Below are 25,663 nucleotides of genomic sequence, written 5' to 3' on the forward strand. Positions count from 1 at the left end.
AGGAACCCTTCCATTAATCCCTTTGTGATGTGAATAATCACTCCCAATCTGTCTGTTCTGTAAGTTTGCTTTTCATATGTTGGGTTTGCCTAAAGCAGGACACAGCTGTACTAAACTATTGCAGTTATTCTCCTACAGTCGCCAGGAATATCCACTAAGGGGATTTGAATCTGTTTGCTTAACATTTTCAGCCTCATGCAAGATTTAATTTCCTTGGCTTTAGGTACAGTATGTGCCTTGCACTTTGGTTCAACAACTAAGCTGAAATGCTTTGTTTAAATTGCACCTCTTGGTTGTTTATATTTTCCCAGTCAGAGCACATTCTCTAAAAAGTACTTAAAGTACTCAGTGGGGTGAAGGGCGCCCCTTACAGACAATTAAAGAATTGCACAGAGACCTCGAGAAGTGAAAATGCTCATGGACAAAGAATATCACTGTCTCTCAGCAATAATAAAAGGCACTCATTCTTCTGTTTACCATTGATACCCTATCTTCTTCCAAAAGAAATTCAAGGCTTACCATAAGCATCCAAATGCAATAAAATTAAAGTACCATTAAGATGAAAATACAAGGTTAAGAGCCAACCAGTGAAGTTGGGTAGAGTAGAATATCATTATGAGAAAGTCTAGACCGAGGTGAACTACTTCAGTAGAGCCCAAACCATAACTGAGGTTCCTGGCAGCCAAAGCAACAATGAAAATGGTCAGATAGGCTCTGTGACTTTCCTCACACCTATAAAAGAAACATGGCATTCTTTTTCAAAGGGAGATCTGGAAAAGATTTTTTAAAAAGAAGAAAGAAACATGACAAACCACCAGAAGAGATGTAAGGAGAAATCAGTAGGAGAACACTTTATCTCTGTGTCAGTCTTCCATCTCCAGTATCATGGCAAAAGCACAAGGAGAATATGGTTGTTAATCTATAACTATCACACATTTTATTTTCGGGGGAAGTTATAAATGATTCATTGCTACATTCTGATGATTCTCAGACATGGCTAGCTTCAGACCCCTAAACTGAAAGGAGGATAGGGAAAGCTCATTTGGTTTGTAAAACAGCCCACTTGGCATGGCCAGATCTTTCCAATATAGATCAAAAGAGTAACAAGGAAGCTCCCTACAAGATTTGAGAGTTTCAATGATCTATTTAAGAATGTCACCAAAAAATAAGTTAACCTTAATTACATTTTGTAGTAATAATAAGATAACTAAGAGTTTACAAAGTACTTTCACATACATGTAATTTCGACTCTCATTCCCCTTGCATGTAGGTATGAGTGTCTACTTTTTTTGCCTGTGAGGAAACTAAGGCTCAGAGAAAATTGAATGACTTGCTCAAAGTGACAGCCAGTCAATATCACTTTGGTTCTAGGCCTATGAAAGAGGAGAGCAAGTTGGGAGTTAGATATCTCTTGATAAACTACAGGAGTTTATCAAAAGAAGAAATTCAGAGGGCTGGGATGATTATGCATTCATTTACTCATTTAAAATACTTAATGTATACCAAATGGCTATTAATGGCAGCCTTAAAAATAGGTTTTTGTATTTTTGTTTGTGGGTTTTTTTGTTTTTTGAGATGAGATCTCACCATGTTCCCCAGGCTGGTCTCAAACTGATCACTTGATCCTCCTGCCTCAGCCTCCCAAGTAGCTAGGACTACAGGCACATGCTACTGTGCCCAACTCAGGGAAAACATAAAAAGTTTTTAAAACATCCCCTTTTCAAAGAATATTGAATAATCCTCTTACAAGTTCCATGATTATTATGCATTTGCTATAACCACATGCCAAGAATCTGAAGCAGTAAGACTTCATGCCATAATTTACATTTTTTACTCAAAATCCTACTTTCCTGCAAAAGTAGGACTTCTTAGAACTCTGATTTCTTGTCTTCCAAGCCCCAAGCTACTAAAAATCCAGGGGAAAGCACATCACTGATTTCAAATGATCCTGAGAATCTAAATATTTTATAACATTAGGGCAACACTCTCTCAATTATGTATTTCATTGAACAAATTACCTAGCTACACCCCTAACCCTAGCAAATCATTTCAGTATCGTTGCTATAGACATTTCTTACAGTTTCATGCACACCTCAATTTCTATTAAAATAGCTTCTCCTCTGATTTGAGAAAGCTTCATTCTCTTAAAGAAGATACTTAAAACTAGGTGAACCCAACTCTGAAGACAGAGAAGAATTAAATATGATCAGAATATATTTTCCAGTATAAGAGAACATAGACATGAAAAGACAGTGTTCTTTTCTCTCTCTGGAATAATATAACTGTGCAATAGCAAAAGATTATTAACTTTTCACAAGGTAACTTTTGGCATCAGTGTTCTAGTTTGTCATATAAACAAAGCTGGTAATTTCAAAGTCCTAGGATTTTGACAATCCAAATGATTTTTGTTTGTAAAAGGCTAAGAATCGTGTAGGCATCTGGCTTCCTTCATTCAGCAATGTTGCTGCTGTTATTTTTGCAACAAAAATAAAAATAAAAAGCAAGCTTAACCGTGCCGTGTTAGTATGAGATAATTTTATGTTCTTCAGTTATAGAACTCTGATATATTTGAGTACATCAGAGTCCTGTCATTTCTCCCTGGTGAATATGTAACTTGGTGATTATTCAAAGAGGTAGGAGGTGGGGGTGAGAGAGGAGAATGAACCAAGTAATATGTTAATTGAACATCTTTTTACAAAAACTTAGATAAATTGCACTCTCACCACCAATTTTTCATAATAGACTGAGGACACCAGTTTGTAGCCACAGAGTTAAAAACAGCAGGTGGACTGTGCCAGAAAAAGATACTCCCCAAAGTCACATTTGATGATTTATTACTTACATTAAAATACAAATATGGAAATTATCCAGGAGTTGCCATAGAGCAAGTATTCTGGTATGATTTACAATATCTACTCATTCAATTTTGTGGAACCGAATAAAATGACAAAGATGATAGCATAAGATTACACGTGAGGCTGAGTGCGGTGGCCCACACCTGTAATCCCAGCACTTTGAGAGGCCGAGGCAGGCAGATCACACGGTCAGGAGATCAAGACCATCCTGGCCAACCTGGTGAAACCCTGTCTCTACTGAAAATAGAAAAAATTAGCTGGGCATGGTGGCGCTTGCCTGTAATCCCAGCTACTCGGGAGGCTGAGGCAGGAGAATCCCTTGAACCAGGGAGTTGGATGTTGCAGTGAGCCGAGATCATGCCACTGCACTCCAGCCTGGTGACACAGTGAGACTCCATCTAAAAAAAAAGAAGAAGAAAGAAAGATTACACTTGAAAGCTCTCAGAGAACATAAACATTTGTCTTCAGTCTTTTTACATTTGCACATTTGCATGACAGAGCAAAGTATGTATGTTCTAACTGTGTATGATGTGGCTAACCATTCTGCAGTGGACAGAGTAGCCTTGTAAAATAAGCCATAGCAGTTCTCTCTGCTCTCCAGACCCAAACCCAGAGGGGCCAGACCATTCTCTCCAGGGTACCTGAGTGGTACATGACAAAGCCTGAATTTGATTCAGCATTCCAAAATTCCCACACCTCTGTGTGCTTCTTAAAGCCCCCTGACTTCTAGATACACATGTTTATGTGGCATGACCTACGAAATTTTATGCAGGATGAAGAACATGGAGCTACAAAGGCAGAAATGAGAGTCCCTAAGAATTCAGTTGTCTGTACTGAAGCATAGAGAAATACGTGACGTGTGAGAATGAGAGATGCTCTGATAATCCCGAATAGGTCTATTATGAGTTAAACACGTTTCACAAGGACTGCTTCAGTCTATTTCTGTGAATTCATTTTCTCTGTACCTCCTTGGCTGTTTGTGACCTGGAAGCTCTGTATTGTCCTGTCATTTCCTTTCCTTTTCTTTTTCTTTTCTTTCCTGACAAGTATCTGTTCTCTGCACAGAACTATGAATGCCAACAGACTAGTGTTAGTTGCATGACTCAGACGCTGGCCTCCACAAGGTCCTCTTGCTGGGTCATAGACATAGGCCAGAAAAGAAGCTTTTATTTCACAATTTTTGGCTGTGAATCCCTTCATGACCAAATGTACACTTGTCTAGACAAGGGTGCAGCCCTCATTCCCTGGATCCCAAAGCCACCTTGCATTTCTGAGAAATGTAGAACAAGGTGGACGACACAGGGGATTCAAAGACATGTTTTCTTTGCAGCAGTTGAGCCTGGGGCTCCATGGAGGGCCAATCCCTGCTCTGCAGCTCTCTGCCAGCAAGGATCCTCCATAGCACATGCTTTCTTCCTGTGTGTGATGTCTCCTGGGATTAGCCTCCCGGGCGCAGTGATGCCCTTGCTACACCAATGCACTCACAGCAGCAGGCTGGTCTCTGTTGTCGCACCCCAAACCATGGCTGGGAGCATTCATGAGGGCCAGGTGTCACAAACGATCCAGATATTCTAAGCAAATGGCCAAGCCCTGAGCACCTTGGAAGATAACCTTTACCTAAACCATGAGCATCATCCTAAAGGCCTATTTTAAGAATATGCTAGTGTTTAATATAGAGCAGCTTTTAAATCTTAAATGTAGACAAAGCTGAGAACTAGGAAATTTTTCATTTCTACCAGGCCTCTTTCTTTCCCCTGTGGAGCACTCATATAAATGTATTCAAGGAACATATATGTATTTGTGTGATTATTTGATTAATGGCCACCTACCCTACAGACTGTCAGCCACATGAGGGCAGAGATGATAACTCTATTCACTCAGATGATCTCCTTGGCACTTAGTACACTGCTTACCGTATAGTAGATGTTCAATAAATGCTAATGAGTTCCCGGAATTCATTCCTGTGGTGGTAATGACTAAGAAGGGTGCAGAGAATAAACAGACCCCTAAACCAGATATTGCTGGGAATTTTAAAAGGTAAAGACCCAAGGAGTAGAAACATTCTTAAATATAATTGTGGATATATGAAGGTGTGCCCATATTACTAATCACAAGATTTGTGAAATATAAGGCATGCATTTTCATGGCAGGTAAGGGGGAGGCACAGTGGTTAAAAATCAAACCACAACAGATTTATGAGTAGAGCAAAAGTCATGTCCACATTCCAGCTTTCTTGTGAAGCCCCCGGGCCGGCCAGGAGCAGGGTGTAGGGAACATATTCCCAGTTGCATGTTGAAAAGTGCTGCACTGTTCCTTCCCCACGCAGATTGTGGATGGCAAGCTGTGGTTCCAGCTGGACTGCGGCAGCGGCCCTGGAATCTTGGGCATCTCGGGCCGTGCTGTCAACGACGGGAGCTGGCACTCGGTCTTCCTGGAGCTCAACCGCAATTTCACGAGCCTGTCCCTGGATGACAGCTACGTGGAGCGGCGCCGGGCGCCCCTCTACTTCCAGACGCTGAGCACTGAGAGTAGCATCTACTTCGGCGCCCTGGTGCAAGCGGATAACATCCGCAGCCTGACTGACACGCGGGTCACGCAGGTGCTCAGCGGCTTCCAGGGCTGCCTGGACTCGGTGATACTGAATAACAATGAGCTGCCGCTGCAGAACAAGCGCAGCAGCTTCGCGGAGGTGGTGGGCCTGACGGAGCTGAAGCTGGGCTGCGTGCTCTATCCCGACGCCTGCAAGCGCAGCCCGTGCCAGCACGGGGGCAGCTGCACTGGCCTGCCATCGGGGGGTGAGTGTGGCTACGCAGTGGGCACTGGCCTGGGGGTTTGAGGGGAGAGTGAATGAACTGCAGGGGGATCCCTGCCCTCCCAACGCAAGGACTCTACTAGAGAGGAGTATTCACACCCAAGATGCTCGCCAACCTTCTTAATCTGCTTTAGGGAAGTCTCAGCTCTTGACAATTACAGGAGTGTCCAGTTTTGCCAATCGTTTGCAGCTTCCCATAGGTGCAGTGCAGTGGCACAGGGGCCCAGAGAGGCCATCAACTCTGCCCACTCCCCTGTCCAACCCCTGGCCTTTCAAGCCAGAGGAGGTTGGGCGAATGGAACCCCCTTTTAAATATGCCCTCATGAGCCACCTGCATGTCACTGCAGAATGATAGTAGCACTATGAGTTATGATGCCCATGCACATGAAATTGCTGACCAGACGTAGACATAAAACCTTACTAGAAGCTAAGACTTACAACCTTACTAGAAGCTAAAGCTTACTAGAAGCTGTCCCCCAGGAATAGGAGATCTTGGAACATACTTTTGCAATGTGTATATTAAAAATAAGTCTAGTTACAGCTTTACAAAGGAGTAGAAAGTCAAGAATAAGGAGAAGGGAATTTACTAAAATCTCAGGACAAATAAGCAGGCAATGAAGGCATGATCTTTACTCTAATATTTTTTTCCCACAAGGTACATCATGAAAGAGGAGAGTAGGCATTAAAAAAAAGCAAAAGATTTATAGAGAGTTTCTTTTGTTTGAGGGGAAAGCCAAGATTATTTAAGTCCTAGGAGTCTAGAGATAAAAGAATCCCTGACTTTACCAAGATGCAGTGTCTGTGTTAATGTAAACTAGGTCAGACATGCTCCCGGTTGAAGGCTTGCCACCTCGCAACAGCCCAACCACTGATTCCACTTCAGTCCCTTTGCAGAGTCGCTCAGCAGTCGTGTCATTAGGAAATTTAAACCTTCCTCACAAATCACTTAGAGATTCTGCTGTGCACATTACCATCTAATGTTCGTGAAATCCAACTCCAAATTTAGAGTCCATTTTATTATTAGAATGTTATAAACTGTCCATGAAATGATGCACTATCGAAATACAGACACCAAAGTTGTTTAGACTTGCATATGTTACTACCACAATGAGGGCCAAGTACCCTGGGGGGAAATTTCTGTCGTCTCGATTTAAGAAATCTATTTGCTGTTTTTACTGTCTCAGCAGTGTATGTAAATAAAGGGTTGTTATGGTGCCATAATTCCCAAATGATGGGCAGTAACTATACTTCAGTGGTTCTATAAACCAGCCCATTATGACAAGTCATGGCTAGTTTTTCACCAGGCAAAACAATTCTGCTAGTGTGAGCCATCTACGATATATAAAAGGAGCATATAATTAAATTGGGTTGAAATAGAACACCACTCCATGTCAAATGCTGGGTACATAGCCACAAATTGTAACATACTTTTAACGATGGCAGGACGTTGTTTTTGCTGGCAGGGCTATGGGCTTCCACAATGGATTATCTTTAAAATAATAATAATAATCACTGTATGAGGGAAAGAGACTAGGGAATCTTGCTTTGCAGTGTGCATTTTAATTTTTAAAAAAATTTCATGAAATCCTTAAGCTAAGTATTCAGTGGAACTATGTTAATTAAATGGCTACGACCCACATGGGGAATAGCAATTTTCTCTATTTTTAAATCTCTTCATTTAACCATATTTCAGCACTGATGACCCACTTGCCATATACTTTTCATATAACCTAGAGAACTTGTCTTGCCCTCCCTAGGGCCCCAGCCTTGCCTATAGAGCACACTCTCCAATCTACCTCTTTGTCTTCCTGTTCCCTTCTTCCTTCTGTGATTGGGCATTGGATCAGGATTCTACAACAGGTATTCTTTCTTCCAAGGAGAAATAGCCTCTTATCAGTTCAAGTTTCTCTTTTGTCTGGGGGGACTTACGTTTTCCTAAAATGAAGATGGTATCTTTCCTCACCTTCATCTACACAGTTCCCTTCTCACAGGCCTACTACCTCTGTTCTCTGTTCCGTTGAGGGAGCCCTGCAGGAGCATCCCGCACCAAGGCTACTCCCAAGCCTAGCCAATGGGTTCTTATCTCAGTAGACACCCGGACGTGTCCCAGGTGGGGAAATTTGGGACTCTCATGCACAGCAGTGCTGGGCCCAAGGCTAGCAAACTCCTTGCCACTCACCAGGAGATCCAAGAAATCCAGGACTTCTGTTGCTTTCCTGGGGAGCCAAGGGCATGAGATTCCTCTTCTGATGTGTGAGGGGGTATCTACCTCTTCCTGGCTATAGGGATGAAGCCTTGGCTTCTAAGAAAAGCAGAAAGAGAACCCATTTTCTTGCCCCTATTGTCTATACCAATAGTATATCAATAGAGGAAGTTTTGCTAGAGCCTATATCCTATCTGCAAATTCCTTAAATTCGTGCCAAACAGGGGAGAGAAAAAAGGGAAGAAAAGAAAGAATCAAAATTTGGCCTTTACTTCATATCTATGAAACTATGTAGCTAATTAAAAGGTTACTTAAAAGAAAAATCCTCTGAGCTGTGAGTGATAGTTTAAAAAGAACAATAAGACTGAGTCTTTAATGAAAGAATATTTATGCCTTCAAGAATTCCCTCTGGCTGCCAGGGAAGTCTAATCACAGGAAGAGACAGTGTTGTGCCCCCAGATCAAAGACTAGGCTGCGTGAAGTGTTCAAAGGGGAAATTTGGGCTAGAGATAGTAGAAGGAGGAGCTTGAAATGAGACTGCTTGCACATGAGGCTGATAACAAAACTTAATTGTTTGAACATTTTCTGTTGTTTGGACCCTCTGCTATGTGTTGCTCTAAAATTTCAGGACACATATTTTAGCATAAGCATCCCCTTGACCACTGAAGAATTCTGGAGTATTGGTCATCGGTTCTCCTGGCGGCAGACTCCACTCTCAAACTGAGGCTATCTTAGTACATTCAGAATTGTTAAAGCAGGCAACACACAACAAGAAGCATTTTTCTTTTAGGGATACAGGATTCTGCCCCAACCATCTCTAAGCCCAATCAAACCCTTGGCGTGAAAGTCAGGGAAGCCACAATTACTAGCTTGGAATGACACAGTCAGCAGGTTTGATCAGCATTATAACTCTTGCTGTCCCAGGAGCAGGCCATAGGAACCTCAGGGGAGTCAGATTCCAGAACACTGACTTGTAATGAGAGTATAAATATGACTCTATAAACCAACCACAGAGAGAAGGCTCTCTCTCGGTAAAGCCTTAAAATTATATGTATTTCATAAACATGAACTGGAAATAGCAACCACTGTGGAGAAGCCATGACTAGGTCCCATTGTGATCCCTGCATTTCCAGATGCAGTGGGCAGGGATCAGCCCAATGTCTGAATGTAATATGTCAACACCCACAGTCTGAATAAGGAGTCCTCAGTCCTCCACGCCTTATCATGCTTAGCTCAAGCCCATTAATGGAAAACACATTTGAAGCCAGGCAGTCACCATGCCATAAATAGTCATTCAGGCAGCATGGCATGAAACCAGAAGCCTAACTCCTGAGCTCCTGAGATGGAAACTTGGGGAGATTCTTAATGGTAAGAGCTACCGCTTGTTAGACTCTTACTATGTGCTTGGTACTGTGATAAGTGCTTACCTTGAAAGTGCTTATGCCCTGGGACATTTAATTCTCACCACAGTACTCTGAGGTCAATACTATTCTTCTCTCCCACCTACCCACCCTCATTTTACAGATAAAGAAATAGGCCAGAGGGGCTAAGTCGGTAGCCTAGTATCACATAGCTAGTAAAGTGGTGAAAGCACACTGGCTGGGTGCAGTGGCTCACACCTGTAATCCCAGAGATTTGGGAGGCCAGGAGTTCAAGGTTATAGTGAGCTATGACCATACCACTGCACTTCAGCCTGAATGACAGAGCAAGACCTTTTCTCTAAACAAAAAACAAAAATTAGTTTCCCAAAACAGTGTGTAGTGGTATTGGTTTATATTTTTTTCCTTGAAAATGCAATGGTTAAAAAGAAAACCAAAAAATATTTAAAAAGTGGGAAAGGTGGGATTTGACCCAGGTTTGTAGACCCCTTCCCCACCAGCCTGTACCCTTAACCCTTGCTACTCAAAGTGTTCCAGGGACCAACAGCATTGGCATCACTGGGAATGTTGGAAAGGCAGTATCTCAGATCCCACCCCAAATCCACTGAATCGGAATCTGTATTTTAACAAGATCCCTAGGTGCTATAGTGATTTATCTCCCTGTCTCTGAACTGCCCTGAATCCTGGGGAAACTTTGACTCTTTTTTTCTTACATTGTATGTAGTGTTCTCAAACTCTAAGATGCATCAGCATCACCTAAGGACCTTGTTTAAATGACACCTTGTTATAGAAGACCCATTTGATTGCTATTTACTTGCCTCCAGTATTTGCTGTCCACATCAGGAACTTTCTGCTAGGTCACTGAATCATATTTGCACATTTCTGAACTTTCCTACCGAGAAAATTTATCAGTTGGAAGTTAAGGGGAAACAAACAAACAAACATACAGAATCTGAATTGGCAAGAGTGGAATTCAAGCATCTCTATTTTTAACAAGCCTCCAAGGAGTTTCTATGCACACCCATTGTTTAAGAACCACTGACATTTGGGAATCCTGAAAACTCTATATTTGAAGAAATGCAAGTCAGTGGATTCCAGGAAAGGTAAACAGACATAGGACATTCAGGAATTGAGAGTCGGATGCGCAGCCTGCACTTAAAAAAAAAAATTAGTATAAAGGTGGAGCTTTGTACCCCAGTCAGGAGATTTTGGTAACTCTGAGCTCCCCTTCAAAGATAAGAGTAATAGTGTCTGCCACTCCCTCTAGGCAATTGTGAGTATTCTGCCTGTCAAGTTGGATGAAACAAGTTCTTGGATGTTGCAAATAGTTTGCATAAAACTGTTTTCAGTAGCACTTTGGGGCCACTTTGGATATGTTTTGCTGAATACTTTGTGTTCCTAACTTGTAAGAATCGAGATAAATTTAGTCCATCAAACTTTAATTAAGTACCTCCTTGGTGCTGAGCTCTGTGTTGAATTCTGGGTCTCATTGCTTTCTCTGTGACCAATGGATGCCACTGGTGTGGCCTCCCTCTCCTCACAGCTGGTTTAAGGGAACTGAACAGGGTTCCCCTACATGCTCCACCCACTGGCTTACTGAGCTTCGAGAAGGGAGATGTCAAACTCCCAGTAAATATGCTGTGGACATAATTTGGCTGAGCTTTTCAGCTTATGGAAAAAAATTTTTCTGGGTGACTGTCTTCTAAATGCTGACTTACTCTTATATTTTTGGTACCTTGGAAAAAAACCTCATGGTAACAGCATTAATAATTATAGACACTAATAGAAAAGCTCAAACCCTAAAGTAGGTTATGTGCAGATACATACTAGAAGGTGAGAATTTACTGTGTGGATAATGTTAACACATTAAAGGTTTCCAGATCCTCAAAGAAAATATTAGAGGCTTGGCCCAATATACAATATATAAAATGTGAGCCAGCTTTCCTAGGGAAAAAGTCTCACCTTCAAATTTTTATTTTACAAGGTCTAAAGGTTTTGAATGTACCCTGTTTGGTGAAAGAGAAGAATCGGAATGACTGAAAGTTGAAATGGCAAAGTAACTTCAACTGTAACAGAGCTCATCCTCACTCATAATTAGAATCTCACATGATAACCTATCCACCAGTTTTCTCATACTAATTGAGGCTCACATGGACTAGAGGTTTGGATGTTTCCCAGTCTTCAGCCTAAACATCAGAATAAAAAAACTCCCATGATTTCCAGTTGTTTGGTTTATGAGCAATATAGAGAGGAAGCTGATTTCAGGATCTATAGTAATTACAATAATTACAACAATAAAGCACCTAATGTTGTGTGCTGCATTGTGGTTTATGAATCCAGAAACCTTATTGTTCCCGATGAAGTGAGTATTAGTGAGTCTCATTTATCAGATAAAATAAGGAAGTTCCTAGAGGTCAGGCCATGGTCACACCCAGGTAGTGGGTAACAGCCAGAATCTAAACTTGTACCCAGTGCCTCACCACCACATCACAGCCACTTCCCCGAGCCATGTAAGTTCTTGGAGTTTGTAAATGAAATCCATAACTCAGCAAGCAGAGTGGCTGATGCTGACTTCAGATCCCAGGTGCTACTTACACATTTGTCATTATTTCCACCTTTGTGCAGCAGGCAGATCTTTCCTTATCAAGGCAGCCAAACCTGATCAGAATGATGTTTACCTACACTGGCAAGCAGGGTAGAGCGTTTAAGCCATAACCTGGATGAATCAGGTTGGAAAATGACTACTAAGTCAAAGGAATAAGACAGGAATTATCTTGATTATTTGCCTACACAGCCCAAATTAATGCTATAATTGCTTATACCATTTCCATTTTTGCATTTAATATGTTTTGCAATGCTCTTCTTTGAGCAAGGAAAGGAGGATTCATTTTAAGTTGGTCTGGATGCAGATTTCAAAACCATCTGCATCTGCTATAACTAGAAGGATTGTAAACAGAAACACAGCTTTGAGGCAAGGCTTAAAAATACACTTCTCATTTTGCCAGGATTTGAGGGGAAAGAAGCTATGACTTTTCGGTACATGTATCTCCACACTAGTAGGACCATTTCCTTTCTAAAATCTGAGAACTGGCATGAAGTGCATCTGCCACTCATTGACTGTGTAACCTCGTGAAACCCATCTTATTGACGCTTCAGTTTTCTCATTTGTAAAATAACTATAATAACAATACTTATGGCATAGGGTTGTTGTAAGAATTAAATGAGACAGAATGCACAGAAAGTTCTTAGAATTTTTCACATCACATAAGCTATTGTTCTTGCTAATTATTTCCTTATTTGATATTCTCCCCTCTGAACAAGAAAAAAAATCAATTTTTTAAGAATACGTTGAGATCAACCATTGATATTTTTCTTTCACATTTACAAAAGTGGTAAATATTATTTGTGATCAAAAAATCCCTAGATATCTCTTAGAATTTTGTTCACTTTATTTGTGTTTTATAACAACATATGGTAATGCTTGGGAAGAGTAGAAACTTTTTATTCTATTATCTTTATTATTTAATGATGATTGGATTCCCAGAAGGAGTTTCTAAAATTGTCCATCTCACTGTATCTTATCTGCTTCCCAGAGACTGATGGGAAGTAACAACAAGCTCTTCTTTCTTATCCCTAGAAACTAATGAGCTTGGGCTCAGTGATAAGTTCTAATACAGTCTTGTAGAAAGATTTGAGAATCAGAAAGCCTAGAGTCAAGTTTAAACTCAATCTCTTACTAATGTATGTTGAGATGGAGTTTCGCTCTTGTTGCCTAGGCTGAAGTGCAATGGCGTGATCTCGGCTCACCACAACCTCCGCCTCCTGGATTCAAGTGATTCTCCTGCCTCAGCCTCCCAAGTAGCTGGGATTATAGGCATGCACCACCATGCCCGGCTAATTTTGTATTTTTAGTAGAGACGGGGTTTCACCATATTGGTCAGGCTGGTCTCAAACCCCCGAACTCAGGTGATCCGCCCACCTTGGCCTCCTAAAATGCTGGCATTACAGGCATGAGCCACCACACCCGGCCTAGTATACGCTCTTGAACAAACAGCTTAACCTCTCCAGCAGCCCCAGGAGTTGAGATGTTAATGAGACCTCTTCTTTTTCCTTCATAGGATCACTGTGATCCTTCAGAGAATGAAAGTGATTTAAAAACACTAAAGCATTAGATTACTTAGTATCATTATGGCTACTAATGAATGATAATAATCATTATTGATATTTTTGAAAGTATTAATAATAGGGCTAATACCAGGATAATGAGATTATAAATAATATTTTGTGAGAACAGGTTAATTTTCATAAACAAGCCTTTTCACAGAGGCTGAACAATAGATATCACTCTTCTTTCACTAAAAAAAAAATCTGACCACTTTTAAAAAATTCCAATTGCTTTTCCCTCTCATTGTGTTAACATAAAACTCCTCCGAATTTAAAGTTCTAAAAGCAAGACTTCTTCCAAAAGGCTCTGCCTCCTATGCCCCAAGGGTTTGCAATCATAAGATCCTAGACAGTTTGCTGCTCTTTCTGATAAACAGAATGGGTAATGAAGTGTGGTTGTTAGAAATACAGTTCAGGACTGCAGGAGCCAGACTTCCTGGGTTCAAATCCACACCCACTTTGTGACCATGACAAAGCAATCAGCTTCTCTGTACCTCAGCTGCCTCTTCTATAGCGTGCTTCTAAATGGAGTTTTTCTGTCTTTGTATCCCCAGTGCTTGCCACAGTCCCTATTCCAGGGGTGTGCTGGTAAACCAGTTCTCTAAAAATAAAAGCCCTGATTTGTAGCATTTGCTGATGACTGCAGTGTAAGTACTTCCACCATGGCTGATGTCAGGCTACCCGTGGTTTAACAACTGACCTGCCAAATTCCTGAATATTTAACAGTTACCTCTTGGGACCCTGTATGAGTTGGCACCAGCCACACCACCATCTATGACTTAGGCACTCAGTCGATGTGGATATGTTAATCAGCCAAGCTAGCTGCTGCATCAAGTAGTGCTAGATACTCCACAAAAGATGATGAAAACGGCAAAATTCAGAAGGAACTGTGTATAAGTAAAATTGTGCTCTAGAGGTAGTGTCTTATTTTAAATTCTGATTTTCCAAGGCACAGAGACATCAAATTGCTTCTCTGCCATCAGATCAAAAATCAGTCCCATGACCTGAGTTAGAATCCAGTTTCCATGATAGTGATTTAAATGTCCCTCAGATCTGGACCGCCCCTCCTTGACCCTCCCCTGCCCCCAGGTGCTTCTGATGTAGTTTTATTTAAGAAACTGTCAGAGGCTTGCCAAAGAGGAGCTGGAGAGGGAGTTTTCGCCAAGTTTACCTACCTTGCCTTGGACTCCCCCCATTCCTGACTTCCCTCCCCATCATTGATGTGCTTTTCAGAGTCCTGTACTGTGGTTGTCTAAGATTATATTCTAAAAAAGAATCTAATTCCTCCTCCCAAGTTACTGTTTGTCTAAAGACATGCCATCATAGCCAACAACTAGCCAGGTGACACAAAGAAGCGTTTTTCCCAATCCCAGCTGCCTTCAACAATTTTCAACTCTATTAAAGTGAGCAATTTCCCAAAATGAAAAAAATAACCCCAAGTCAACATAACTTCAAGCAAGCATACCTCAGACTTCTGCCTCTACCCAGAGACCTCAGGCTGGCCTTCTGTAGACATAGCTGGCATCAACAATGGCCTTTCCTTAGGAGCTCCTTGGTCTTTCCTTGGCTTTGCGTTTAAGGGCATTCTTTTTCTAATATCTATGTGTCACTCTCTGAGTCTCAGTCTCTTTCCCTCTGTGTTTCTTGCTGCCAGGAAGGCTGGGGCTGCATAGTCTCCTCCACTTGGAAATATATAGATTGCTCTCTTGGCTCCTGCATCTGTCTCTTGAAGATAAGATTTTCTCTCTGTGAACCTATGAACACACAATCATTCTTCCTTCTGTACCTGGGAGTTATCTGTAATGGGTATTCAGCAAAACATCCATAAGAGCATATGTTCATTTCAAACTATTCATTTTTAACTATCTTTTATCTGTAGAGATCAAGCTTTATAATCCCAACATCAGTCACTGACAAATTTGAAGAGGAGAAACCCAAGAGTCCTTCAAGTAAGAGTGAGAATGGTTCCTTGCAGTAGTTACAAAAGGTCTTAGATATGGGGAAAGCCTTTTTGGCCACTTCAGGGTAAGGGTGGCAGCTTGCTGTTACAACCCCACTGCTATGGAATTAAAGTTATTTTTAAATGAGTCATAAGCCCATAGAAGTGAGGAGAATAGGGAAGTAGACAACACCAACACAGGTTTGGAGGTGGAAGGCAGAGAGACAGGTGGTAAGGAAGAGAGAGAGAAAAGAAGCTCTTAGAGACCTAAATTCCAGCTGGTAGAAGGGACCGAATTCCCAAAAACTCGGGGGACTGAATCCCCAAAAACTCAGGAACTGGAGGCACCAGTCACTTCTGAAGGGGGAGAGATGGGGAAAAGAGCTTAAAATAAGAATTGCTCAAAACGGTTTAGAGGCAGTCAGGATTCAATCTGGATTCCCACCTTCCCTCTGCACAACCAGGCAATTGTTCCCCCAATGCTGTGACGAGGCCTGCAGGTGATGTTGAAATGCAGGGTCTCAGGACTGGAGCATGCCAGACACTGTGCTGTACAGGGGTTAAAGTAAATATGATGTGCTTATTGGATGCTGAAACTCACAACCACCCCTCCTCTGCCACCACCCAACCTCCCAGTATTAGAAACCAGGCCTTTACCTTCCCTCTGAACAGACGATAAGATGAGCTGTTGCTAGGGAAACTGACCATGACAAAGCTACTGACTCAGTTTTACAGTTGCTGAGCCCCATTAATGTGCTCAGAGCTTCTCATCAGATTTCTAGTTTTCTATTGCTATACTCTTCAATGTGAACTAATAAGCAATGGTTACAAGTAAAGAAATCATCTCATTTGGAAGATAGAAAATGTATTAGAGTTCTTCAGAGAAGCAGAACCAATAGGAGATATATGCAGCTACTCCTCAACTTATGATGGGGTTACATCTCAATAAACTCATCATAAGTTGGAAATACCTTAAGTAAAAAATGCATCTAATACACCTAACCTACCAAACATTATAGCTTAGCCTAGCCTACCTGAAACACATTTCTACTGAGTATATATTGCTTTCACACCTTCATAAAGTCAAAAAATCATAAGTTGAACAATCATAAGGCAGAGACCATTTGTGTATATACATGAGCATGTGCACATACATGTATGTGGAGAGAGACTGATTTCAAAGAATTGGCTTATGACTGAGCAGGCTGGCTGGTTGAAAATTCATGTAAGAGTTGATTTTGCAGTCTTGAATTCAAAATCTGCAGAGTAAGCCAGCAGGCTGGAAATTTGGGTAAAATTTATTCTATGTTACAGTCTTGAGGCAGGATTCTTTCTTCATAAGGCCTTGAACTGAATAATGAGGCCCACCCATATTATGGAGAGTAATATGTTTCATTTTAAGGTAACTGATTATACATTTTGTCATACCCAAGTGAGACTCACAGCTAAAAATAGAAATAAATAAATAAATTGATAACATCCACAAATACCCAAATACCTTCACTGCAACATCTAGACTAGTGTTTGACCCAACATCTGGCTACCAATAGGCTACCCAAGTTGACACATAAGGTTAAATATCACAGAGACCAAAACAAAGAAACAGAGAAAAGCAACTTGGAAAAAACTGCAGGGAGAAAACTTCATAAAAGTATTATTAATATCCTCAGACAGATAAGAGAAGATACTATAACCACAACACAGGAGCAGGATGTTATGTGTTAAAAAAAAAAAAAAAAAAAAAAAAAAAAAAAAAGCTCCGCACAAAAAAAGTTCTTGGAAAATGACAAATTAATGAAATCTCAATAAAAGTGAAGGAGATAAGAAACTGTCATAAAAAGTAAAGCAAAACCTCATAGAGATGTAACATAAGAGAGAAAAAATAAAGTTAGAGGAAGGTCCAGGAGATCTGAGATCCAAAAAATAGAAGTTCCATAAAAATAGAATAGAGAAAACAGAGGAAAATAAATTACCAAAGAAATAATAAAAGAAATTTTCCTAAAGTGAAAACACAAAAATTTCCAGATTGCAAGAGCCCACTGAGTATCCAGTATTGGCTGAAAATAAACCCATATAAAGTACATCACTGCAAAATCTCAGAAAATTGGAGGCAAAAAGATCCTCCAAGATGTTAAAGAGAGGGGAAAAAAAAAACAAGTTACATACAAACTCCAAGAGCCAAAATGACTTTGGATTTCTCAAAAGCGACATGGAGGGATTGCTTATAATTTTTTACACAACCTGTCAAAGAGGTATCAGGGTGAAGTAAAGACATGTTCAGCTATGCAAAGTCTCACAAGATTTCCTTCCTATAAACCCTTTTGGAGGAAGTAACTGTGGAATGCGTTCTAGTGAAATGAGAGAGTAAACCAAGAAATAGGCAGACAGGTGATACAGGAATCACCAGATCCAACACAGGACAGCAGGAAAGCAGGGCCAGAGGACAACATTCAGGGTGAAGCCAGTCAGAGGGCCTCAGGAGAGACTAATTCAGGGGATGAAAATACAGGGAAGCAGAGGCAACTAAACTCGGAGAGACCGGGTTGGTGAAGAGTTTCTAGTTAAATTAACAATCAATATTCAGAAATAAGCAAGCAAAAACACTGGACATTTTTTAACTCCAGGGAAAACCAGTTATGCATGAATATAAAAATACAATCGAGCTTACTACATGGCTTAGCTGCAAATAACGTTTCATTGTCATCATAATGCAAACACTGCATTGACTTAACCAAAATTATAATACTATAATATATTGTGAGATAGGGGCATCACAAGAGGTGTTCCTATGTGGTGAGGCTGAAGGTTTGAAATAAAAAAAAGCATAGTGGAAAGCTAATAGAAAATGCCTAACACTAAAATAATCACAAAAATAGTCAAATACTATGGAAGGAAATATTGAAATACCAAAAGGGATACCCAGGTTGCTTCGGAGGAAGTGTAAATGGGAGAGAAGACTGCTAGTGGACAAAATAAAACTTGTAGAACTGCCTTCCTCTTTACTATGTGCATGTATATCTGTAATTTAAAAAAACAAATCTTACGGTTTTTTTTAAAGGAGGGAAGAAAGAACACCCTTACTAGTTATTCATCCCTTCCATCTCAAGAGATAATGCATCTCAAGAGGTCGATAATGCCTCTTTCCACATCTGATATTTCATATTCTCTGTAGTGAGGATATTATATTACTACCAATTTCTGCATGATGGGCTTATGAGGGGAGAAAGTGAAAAAAATGCAAAAATCAGGATCGGACCAGGGGAGCTGGGCAAAGGCTGGAATTCCTTCCATTTCCCTGTGCCTTTGCCAATCTGGGGTTCATTTGAGTTGACAAATATCCTTTTACCTGCTCTCCCCTCATTCCCTCTCTGGGTGGGATTTCAGTACTTGGCTAAGGAGAAGGGGCACACGAGATAGGACAGTGACTCAGGAAAAGAGGTAGCATGGTATCAATAGTAAACCACTCCTGTCTGGAGGCATCTGCCTTGTGCAGTAATAGTGCCGGGGAGAAAACATCTTCCTCCCCATCTTGGGTTCTGCTCTTGAAATCTGTCCCTTGGGTGGGTCTTACAGTTCTCACTAGCATTCATGTATGTGGTTAATTAGGTGAATTTTTGTGGGCTAGCAGGAAATCCCAACTGTAACTTGGCATTTTTGTGGCAAGATGTTTCAAGCAATCAATTTGCTAACCACCTTTGGAATTTGGGCCCTTCCTATTATACGGTTCAACAAAGAATTAGGAGGACATGTTATAGCTGAGTCCAAGCACTCAGCCCTAGCAGTGGCATCCATGGCTCATGAGGTCCTCTGTTTCCCCAGGCTATCAGTGTACCTGTCTCTCACAGTTTACGGGGAGAAACTGTGAATCTGAGATTACAGCCTGCTTCCCAAACCCCTGCCGGAATGGAGGATCCTGCGATCCAATAGGAAACACTTTCATCTGCAATTGTAAAGCTGGGCTCACTGGAGTCACGTAAGTGAGATTACATAAGTGTCTTTCTCTACACTGTTCTTTATTGCTACAACAAACCAGTAAACAACTAATGAGGGTAAAATATTTACCACTAATAGTACAGGCAAAGGGTTAACATCTGCACGATACGTATAAGGAGTGCTTACAGGTGACTAAAATGTTAATAGGAATTATCTCTGGGTAGTAGGGTCATGAGTAATTCATATTTTCTACTTTATGTTTCCCTATACCTTCAAAATTGTGTATGATTACTATGTAGTCTGTAACTAGGGAGAAAAGAAAGTCATCTAGGCCACCTAATATTTCTATTATAATTCGGAGGCAGACATACTACCCATTTCCGCAGAATCCATTAACTGGACTCTACGGCCTATTGTTTTTTGATCATTCTGAGATACTGAAACTTACCTTCCCTTTGCAAACCTTTCTTTCATAAGAAAGAAACAAAATTAAATATTTGCCAAAAGGAAAGAGACCGTTTTAAATTCCTAGTAAAATGCCACTTTCAGCCATCCTTGATCGTTTTAGAAGTATATGTATGTAATCTCAAGCAAGTGATATTCTAATTACAGATCAGTCTTACTTATTCATTAGAGCAAATCTCCCGAGGACTTTACCAGGAAATACTTAACTGATTTTGAATCGTTGGATGTAATTTAAAGTAATAAAGCGGCATTTATTTTTAAATACTCTGTGATTCTGACTAATTTCCGGCTGTCCTCACCTCTATCTGTTCAAATTAGGTTTCGTTTGGCTACATTTTAAAAGGTAGATTACCAAAAATATAGGTGATTGGACCTTTTAAATATCAGAAAAATTGCTGAAATAGAGAAAAGTGAAAAAGAAGGTCTATGTTCTCAAATAATACTAAGCTAAGAAAGAATAAGACTGAAACACTTGCCTTATAATTATACTCAAAGTGAGTCATGGATTGCTTTAAAGAGAATAAAATTGATTTAATTATTTTTCATTAGAATGCTTTAGTCATTCTTCCTGAAAATCTACATGAGTATTAGCCTTTAACATAAGCACAGAATGTTGAAGACATGTAGCCCTTCACCCACCCACCTGCAGCCCCCAGCTTCCCAGAGGGACCAAAAATTACTGTAGCCATTAGAGGAAAATGTCAGAACCAAAGACTTTCCTCTGGGGAAAACCTATAACCGATATATAGATTCACAGCTCTTTGTCTGCAATTCTACAATCCCAAAAGCTCTGAGAACTTAAAGGGTTTGGAGTATGTTAGTGGCAAACTAATTTGGTGGCAAAACCTGTTCAAAACTGTTTTGAGGCTCTTTCTACTCTTTATTTCTCTCATTTAGTGTGAATATCCATATGTTTCACTGCAGAAACACTGGTATTTTTGATTATGGGATACTACGGCCAGCACCAATTTCTGTGAGGGGGAGGAGTATTTTACATAATGTGAAAGATATGTGCTGCATGTCCTTGCTAAAACTGCACAATTTTAAATTCTGAGATGCATCTGCTCCCGCGGATTTGGAGTCCAGTACCTTTTCAATAGCATCTGTTATTCTTTCTCTTTCTCCTCCTCTCCTCTCCCACCTCAGTCTCTTCCTTTCCCCCAACCCAGGTAGGAAAGGAAGACCTGGGAGAGATTGGGTTGGGAGGAACACCTTAAGGCAAGGTGATGACTTGGGGACCACAGTGGCCACAGAAATGCCTAAATTAACTCCCCCTCCCCCCCCCCACCAACCATCTTTGTCCTGCTTCATCTGTACCCTTTAGGTGCATCGTTTTCTTTTAAAGATGTCTGTGTTTTCTCGAGTTCCCGTATACCAACGTGTGTGCACTGGTCCTGACGGTGGGGAGGGGCTTCTGTGTCGCCGCAGGTGTGAGGAGGACATCAATGAGTGCGAACGAGAGGAGTGTGAGAACGGAGGCTCCTGCGTGAACGTGTTCGGCTCCTTCCTCTGCAACTGCACGCCGGGCTACGTGGGCCAGTACTGCGGGCTGCGCCCCGTGGTGGTACCCAATATCCAGGCTGGCCACTCCTACGTGGGGAAGGAGGAGCTCATCGGCATCGCCGTGGTCCTCTTCGTCATCTTCATCCTGGTGGTTCTCTTCATAGTCTTCCGCAAGAAGGTCTTCCGCAAGAACTACTCCCGCAACAACATCACGCTAGTGCAGGACCCGGCCACCGCCGCCCTGCTTAACAAGAGCAATGGCATCCCGTTCCGGAACCTGCGCGGCAGTGGGGACGGCCGCAACGTCTACCAGGAGGTGGGGCCCCCGCAGGTCCCCGTGCGCCCCATGGCCTACACACCCTGCTTCCAGAGTGACTCCAGGAGCAACCTGGATAAGATCGTGGACGGGCTGGGAGGCGAGCACCAGGAAATGACCACGTTTCACCCTGAGTCGCCCCGCATCCTGACAGCCCGGCGGGGCGTGGTCGTGTGCAGTGTGGCCCCCAACCTCCCCGCCGTGTCACCCTGCCGCTCCGACTGCGACTCCATCCGGAAGAATGGCTGGGACGCGGGAACTGAGAGTGAGTAGGAAGTGGTAATGCTCACCCCTCGGTGCTTACAGGGAACCTGCAGGGGCGCTGTGCGAGGACGCTACGGGAAGGGAGAGAGACCCCGCATGCAGAGCATTCGCTATGACATGTGCTGATGTCGAATGTGCACACCAGCTCTGGAAAATTGTCCTGGTTCTGGTTCCCATTTACAGATGGGAGAAATGAAGCTCAGAGAGGGTAACATCATGAGCCCAAGGTGAGGCAGCTAGTAAGAGGCAGTCAGTACCCCAACTCAAGTCTTCCAGGCTCCAAAACCCATCCTCTTCTCACAATAGCGGGCCACTGGTCAAAGTGCAAAAGAAAAGAAGAAAGTATACTAGTTATTGTGTATAAATTATAATAGTGTGTGTGTGTCTGGGCCTATGTACAAAGTGCAAAAAGCCACTTGAGTGATGTCCAGAAGTGTGCTCTGGAAGGCTGGAAGAAGAGAGTATTTCCAGTCTTAGAATGAAGACTTGAGAGAAGCAGAGGGACACTTCAATTGGACCATGATGAGTTAAAGAGTCTGGGGAAAGGAGGATATTCCACCGTAGGGGGACCCATGTGATCAGAAGAAAAGCAAGTCATTTCTTCTTGGCTGGAATGTAGAGACCATGAAACAAGAGGGGGATCCACAAGGCAGAAAGGTGGTCTGGGCCAGATGGAGGTGTTTGCCTCTTCACTTGGCCTCACACAGCAACATTCTAGGCACAGGGAAGAGCCACAGGTGCAAAAGTCCTGGGGTGGGAAGGAGCTTGGTGTGTAGAAGAACACAGAGGAGGTCGGTGCAGTTGGAGCTTGCTGAGCACCAGAGAACGGATACATTTTAACAGCAGCACTATTGCAGGTTTTTAAGTAAGTGACTGGCATGATAATTTACATTTTTTAAAGCTGGCTCTGGCTGATCCTAGGAGAAGAAATTGAACAGGCTTTCTTCCCAAAAAGGGAAGAAAGCAGAGGGCCAGTAAGGTACTCTCTGTGAACATCTCTGTGAGAGATTGTTTTCCCTGCTGTAGTGTCCATCACAAGGAGACTAAAGGAAGCTTTGCTGTAACCTATAACTTCATCAGGACAAATGGCTTTGTATCGCAGTAGCAGCTGTGTCCTAGGTAGCCTAGAAGGCTATGGTTATAGCACTGTGGCATATGCTGAGGGAGAAGGAGGAAACAGGAAGTTTTCAGATGGAGCTAGAGACCATGGGCAGCCAGGGAGATAAAGGTTTTCTTCATGGAGGAAGGGGATATTCCTACTGATATCTTTAAGCATGAGTAAGATTTCAGTAGGACACTTTGGAGATGCCCTCCCAGGAACAGGAAGCAGCTCAGTGTAGAGGACAAGTAAAGGGTTACCCGAGAGATGTCTGGCTCTGTTGTTCAGGTGAGAGGTCAAGGTTAGAAGTGAAAGTTTGAACAACATCTGCATGTAGGATGGTGGACTCTGTAGGAGGGTGAACTCACCAAGGGAACAAGAACAGAGAGGATGGTCAAACCAGGCCTCCAAAAGAACCCTGGAGATGACTACATGTGGGCTTTGGGCAGAAGGGGAGAAGCCAGGCAAGGAGACAAACACTTGCCAACAAAGAAAGAGGAGGGAAAAGGAGAGGACCCTTGTGCAGAAGCCAAGAGAATGTCAGTAAGGTCATCAGTGTTGAATGCTGTGAAACCGCCAAGGAGGACACAGGCTAAAATAGATGTATAGTGAGCCTGATGACGAGAGGAGTCAGCATCTCAAGAGCTTCTCAGTAGAGCCATCAAGGCAGAAGCCAGAATGCAAGGGTTGAGAACCAAGAGGTTTGATGAGAAAGTCAGGGCAGCAGGTGAATGTGAAGCACACTGCTGTGTGTTGCATCATCTCCTTAAACCATCATAGTGCCCCCATGTTGGTACCATTACCAGGCCATCATTCCACGGAGGAAAAAACTCCCTTCAATGGGTGAAATACGCACCTGAAGGCACCTAACTAGCAAAAGGAGAAGTTAGGATTAAAACCTGTGCTCTTACCAGCACTGTTCTTGGGAGCTTTGGCAGGAAGGAGGGTGAGCGGTATTAGAGGAAGAGGATTTCTTGGTGATAACAGAGGGCCAAGAATGAATTCTTTCTATTCTAGTGCTGCCCCAACTTGCTATCTGCTGATTGTCTTTCTGTAGACACATGTATTTTAAGCAGTTGCCCTTGAATTTCAGCCATAAATATACTCCCTCTCAAATTATCTGTTGAGTTAGACTCCACTATAATCTTGCCAATCCACTAGCTAATAGGCTCTTTTTTATTTAGCAATAAAAAAGGGGGGAGTTAATAAATGAAGGAGTGGAGAAAGGAGTTTTATGCTCAGCACTTCATTCACCAGAGTGGATTATTTGTCATTTCCTTCCTTGTGTTCAGGGCTAAGCTTGTGCACACCTTGTGGTTTTCTGAAGCTCATCGTCATATTTTCTGCAACATGGCTGTTAGGAGGTGAATGTCTCCCTGGCATATCTCTCCACTTACATCGGTCGTTTAGCCAACTCCTGTGGCCTCAGCCTCTGACAGCAGATGCAGAGCCACCATGCCTGTTCCTGACACCACCCTTTTTGGAAGAAACGTGATTTCTGTGGCCACGGAGAGGAACAAATGTTCCTTTAATCACAAGTCTGTATCTCTTTGTACCATTGCGTTACATGATGATTTGCAGCTCTTCCTGGTGATCACTGCCCTCACTCCTTGCTGATGTGACAGCTTTATTTCCAGAATTCACCTCAGGCCAAAACTCACATTTCCCCCCAAAGTATTGTTGGGTTGTATTGAATACATTTCCTTCTTTGTTAAGCAAGGCAGAGTTAGCTGGTGAGACAATTTCTGGGCTACTAATTCATTTTGCACTTGGCAACCTCAAGATATAGGCTGTTTTTATTGCTTCCTTTAGTCCATCAAATAAGAAAGTAGCCCTGGTGTGTGTGTGTGTGTGTGTGTGCACGCATGTGCATCTGTGTGTTTCTGACTGTCTTTGTACGGTAAAGAAGGAGGACATATGTGGTTAAGGGCATATCCACACCACTGCCAGCCCTCCTACCTGACACAGGGTGCAGAACATGGTCACTCCCAAAAATGATACAATGCTGCCCTCTAGGAGGCAAAGCTGAAAATTCCACTTACTGTCCAGAGATGGAAGTTAGGATAAATGTAAAGGCATTCTTGCCTATAAAATATTTATACCCCATTTTAAAAGTTATCTCATTTAACCTGGTGTTGACACCTCATCAGTTCATGTAAATGATGTAAATTAACTCTGAATGGCAAAGAGCAATGCAGCCACTTCATCCTCATTTCACTCTTCACTCAGTTGCTTCACTTCGAGGAAGAAACAGCCACTTTTGGCTGTCAGCTGTTTGGAAGCTCATTTACTATGGGCTAAGGGTTTCGAATCCATAATGTAAATCACTTGATTGACAGAACTTTGCCCCCAGTGGCACAGTCAATTTTCTACTGTGGAGCTAAATTATTTTCTCTAAGCAAATGAAAGTGCCTCGAGAAGTGAACTAGCTGAGAGGGGTGGGTGGGACTGGAAATAGGCACAAGGTAACCAGTGTAATTTCTGCTTTCTCTTTCACTGTCCATGAAGACAAAGGGGTTGATGACCCGGGAGAAGTGACCTGCTTTGCAGGTAGTAATAAAGGCAGCAACTCTGAAGTTCAGTCCCTCAGCTCCTTCCAGTCAGATTCTGGTGACGACAATGGTAAGAAGTCATCAGATTTGTTCGGAGCGGGTGGGTTCTGCTTCCTGTTCTGGAAGACCATGGTTGGGAGGAGGGTGGTGCAACTGGCTTTGTTTCTCAACCTGTTCAT

The 25,663-nt window shown here is 42.1% G+C and overlaps 1 protein-coding gene across 11 annotated transcripts in view, besides 1 other annotated feature; it reads left to right on the top strand.

Moving 5' to 3' along the window:
• FAT3 (FAT atypical cadherin 3) overlaps positions 1–25,663 on the top strand; it is a 671,656-nt gene that overhangs the window by 636,742 nt on the left and 9,251 nt on the right. For all 11 annotated transcript variants that reach the window (XM_017017179.3, XM_017017178.3, XM_017017180.2 and 8 more), the window contains 4 exons: positions 5,182–5,650; positions 19,172–19,325; positions 21,179–21,834; positions 25,441–25,554. In XM_017017179.3, coding sequence (XP_016872668.1) covers positions 5,182–5,650; positions 19,172–19,325; positions 21,179–21,834; positions 25,441–25,554 — 1,393 coding nt within the window. The remainder of the gene's footprint in view (positions 1–5,181; positions 5,651–19,171; positions 19,326–21,178; positions 21,835–25,440; positions 25,555–25,663) is intronic.
• Positions 24,804–25,098: a silencer, noted in NCBI's record as "tiled region #9498; K562 Repressive DNase unmatched - State 12:CtcfO". NCBI's record gives its function as "represses a minimal TATA promoter and a strong SV40 promoter by Sharpr-MPRA in K562 cells {active_cell/tissue: K562}" and the evidence as "EXISTENCE:reporter gene assay evidence [ECO:0000049][PMID:27701403]".

Source organism: Homo sapiens, chromosome 11 (assembly GCF_000001405.40).
Source record: "Homo sapiens chromosome 11, GRCh38.p14 Primary Assembly".
Taxonomy (NCBI): Eukaryota; Metazoa; Chordata; class Mammalia; order Primates; family Hominidae; genus Homo; species Homo sapiens.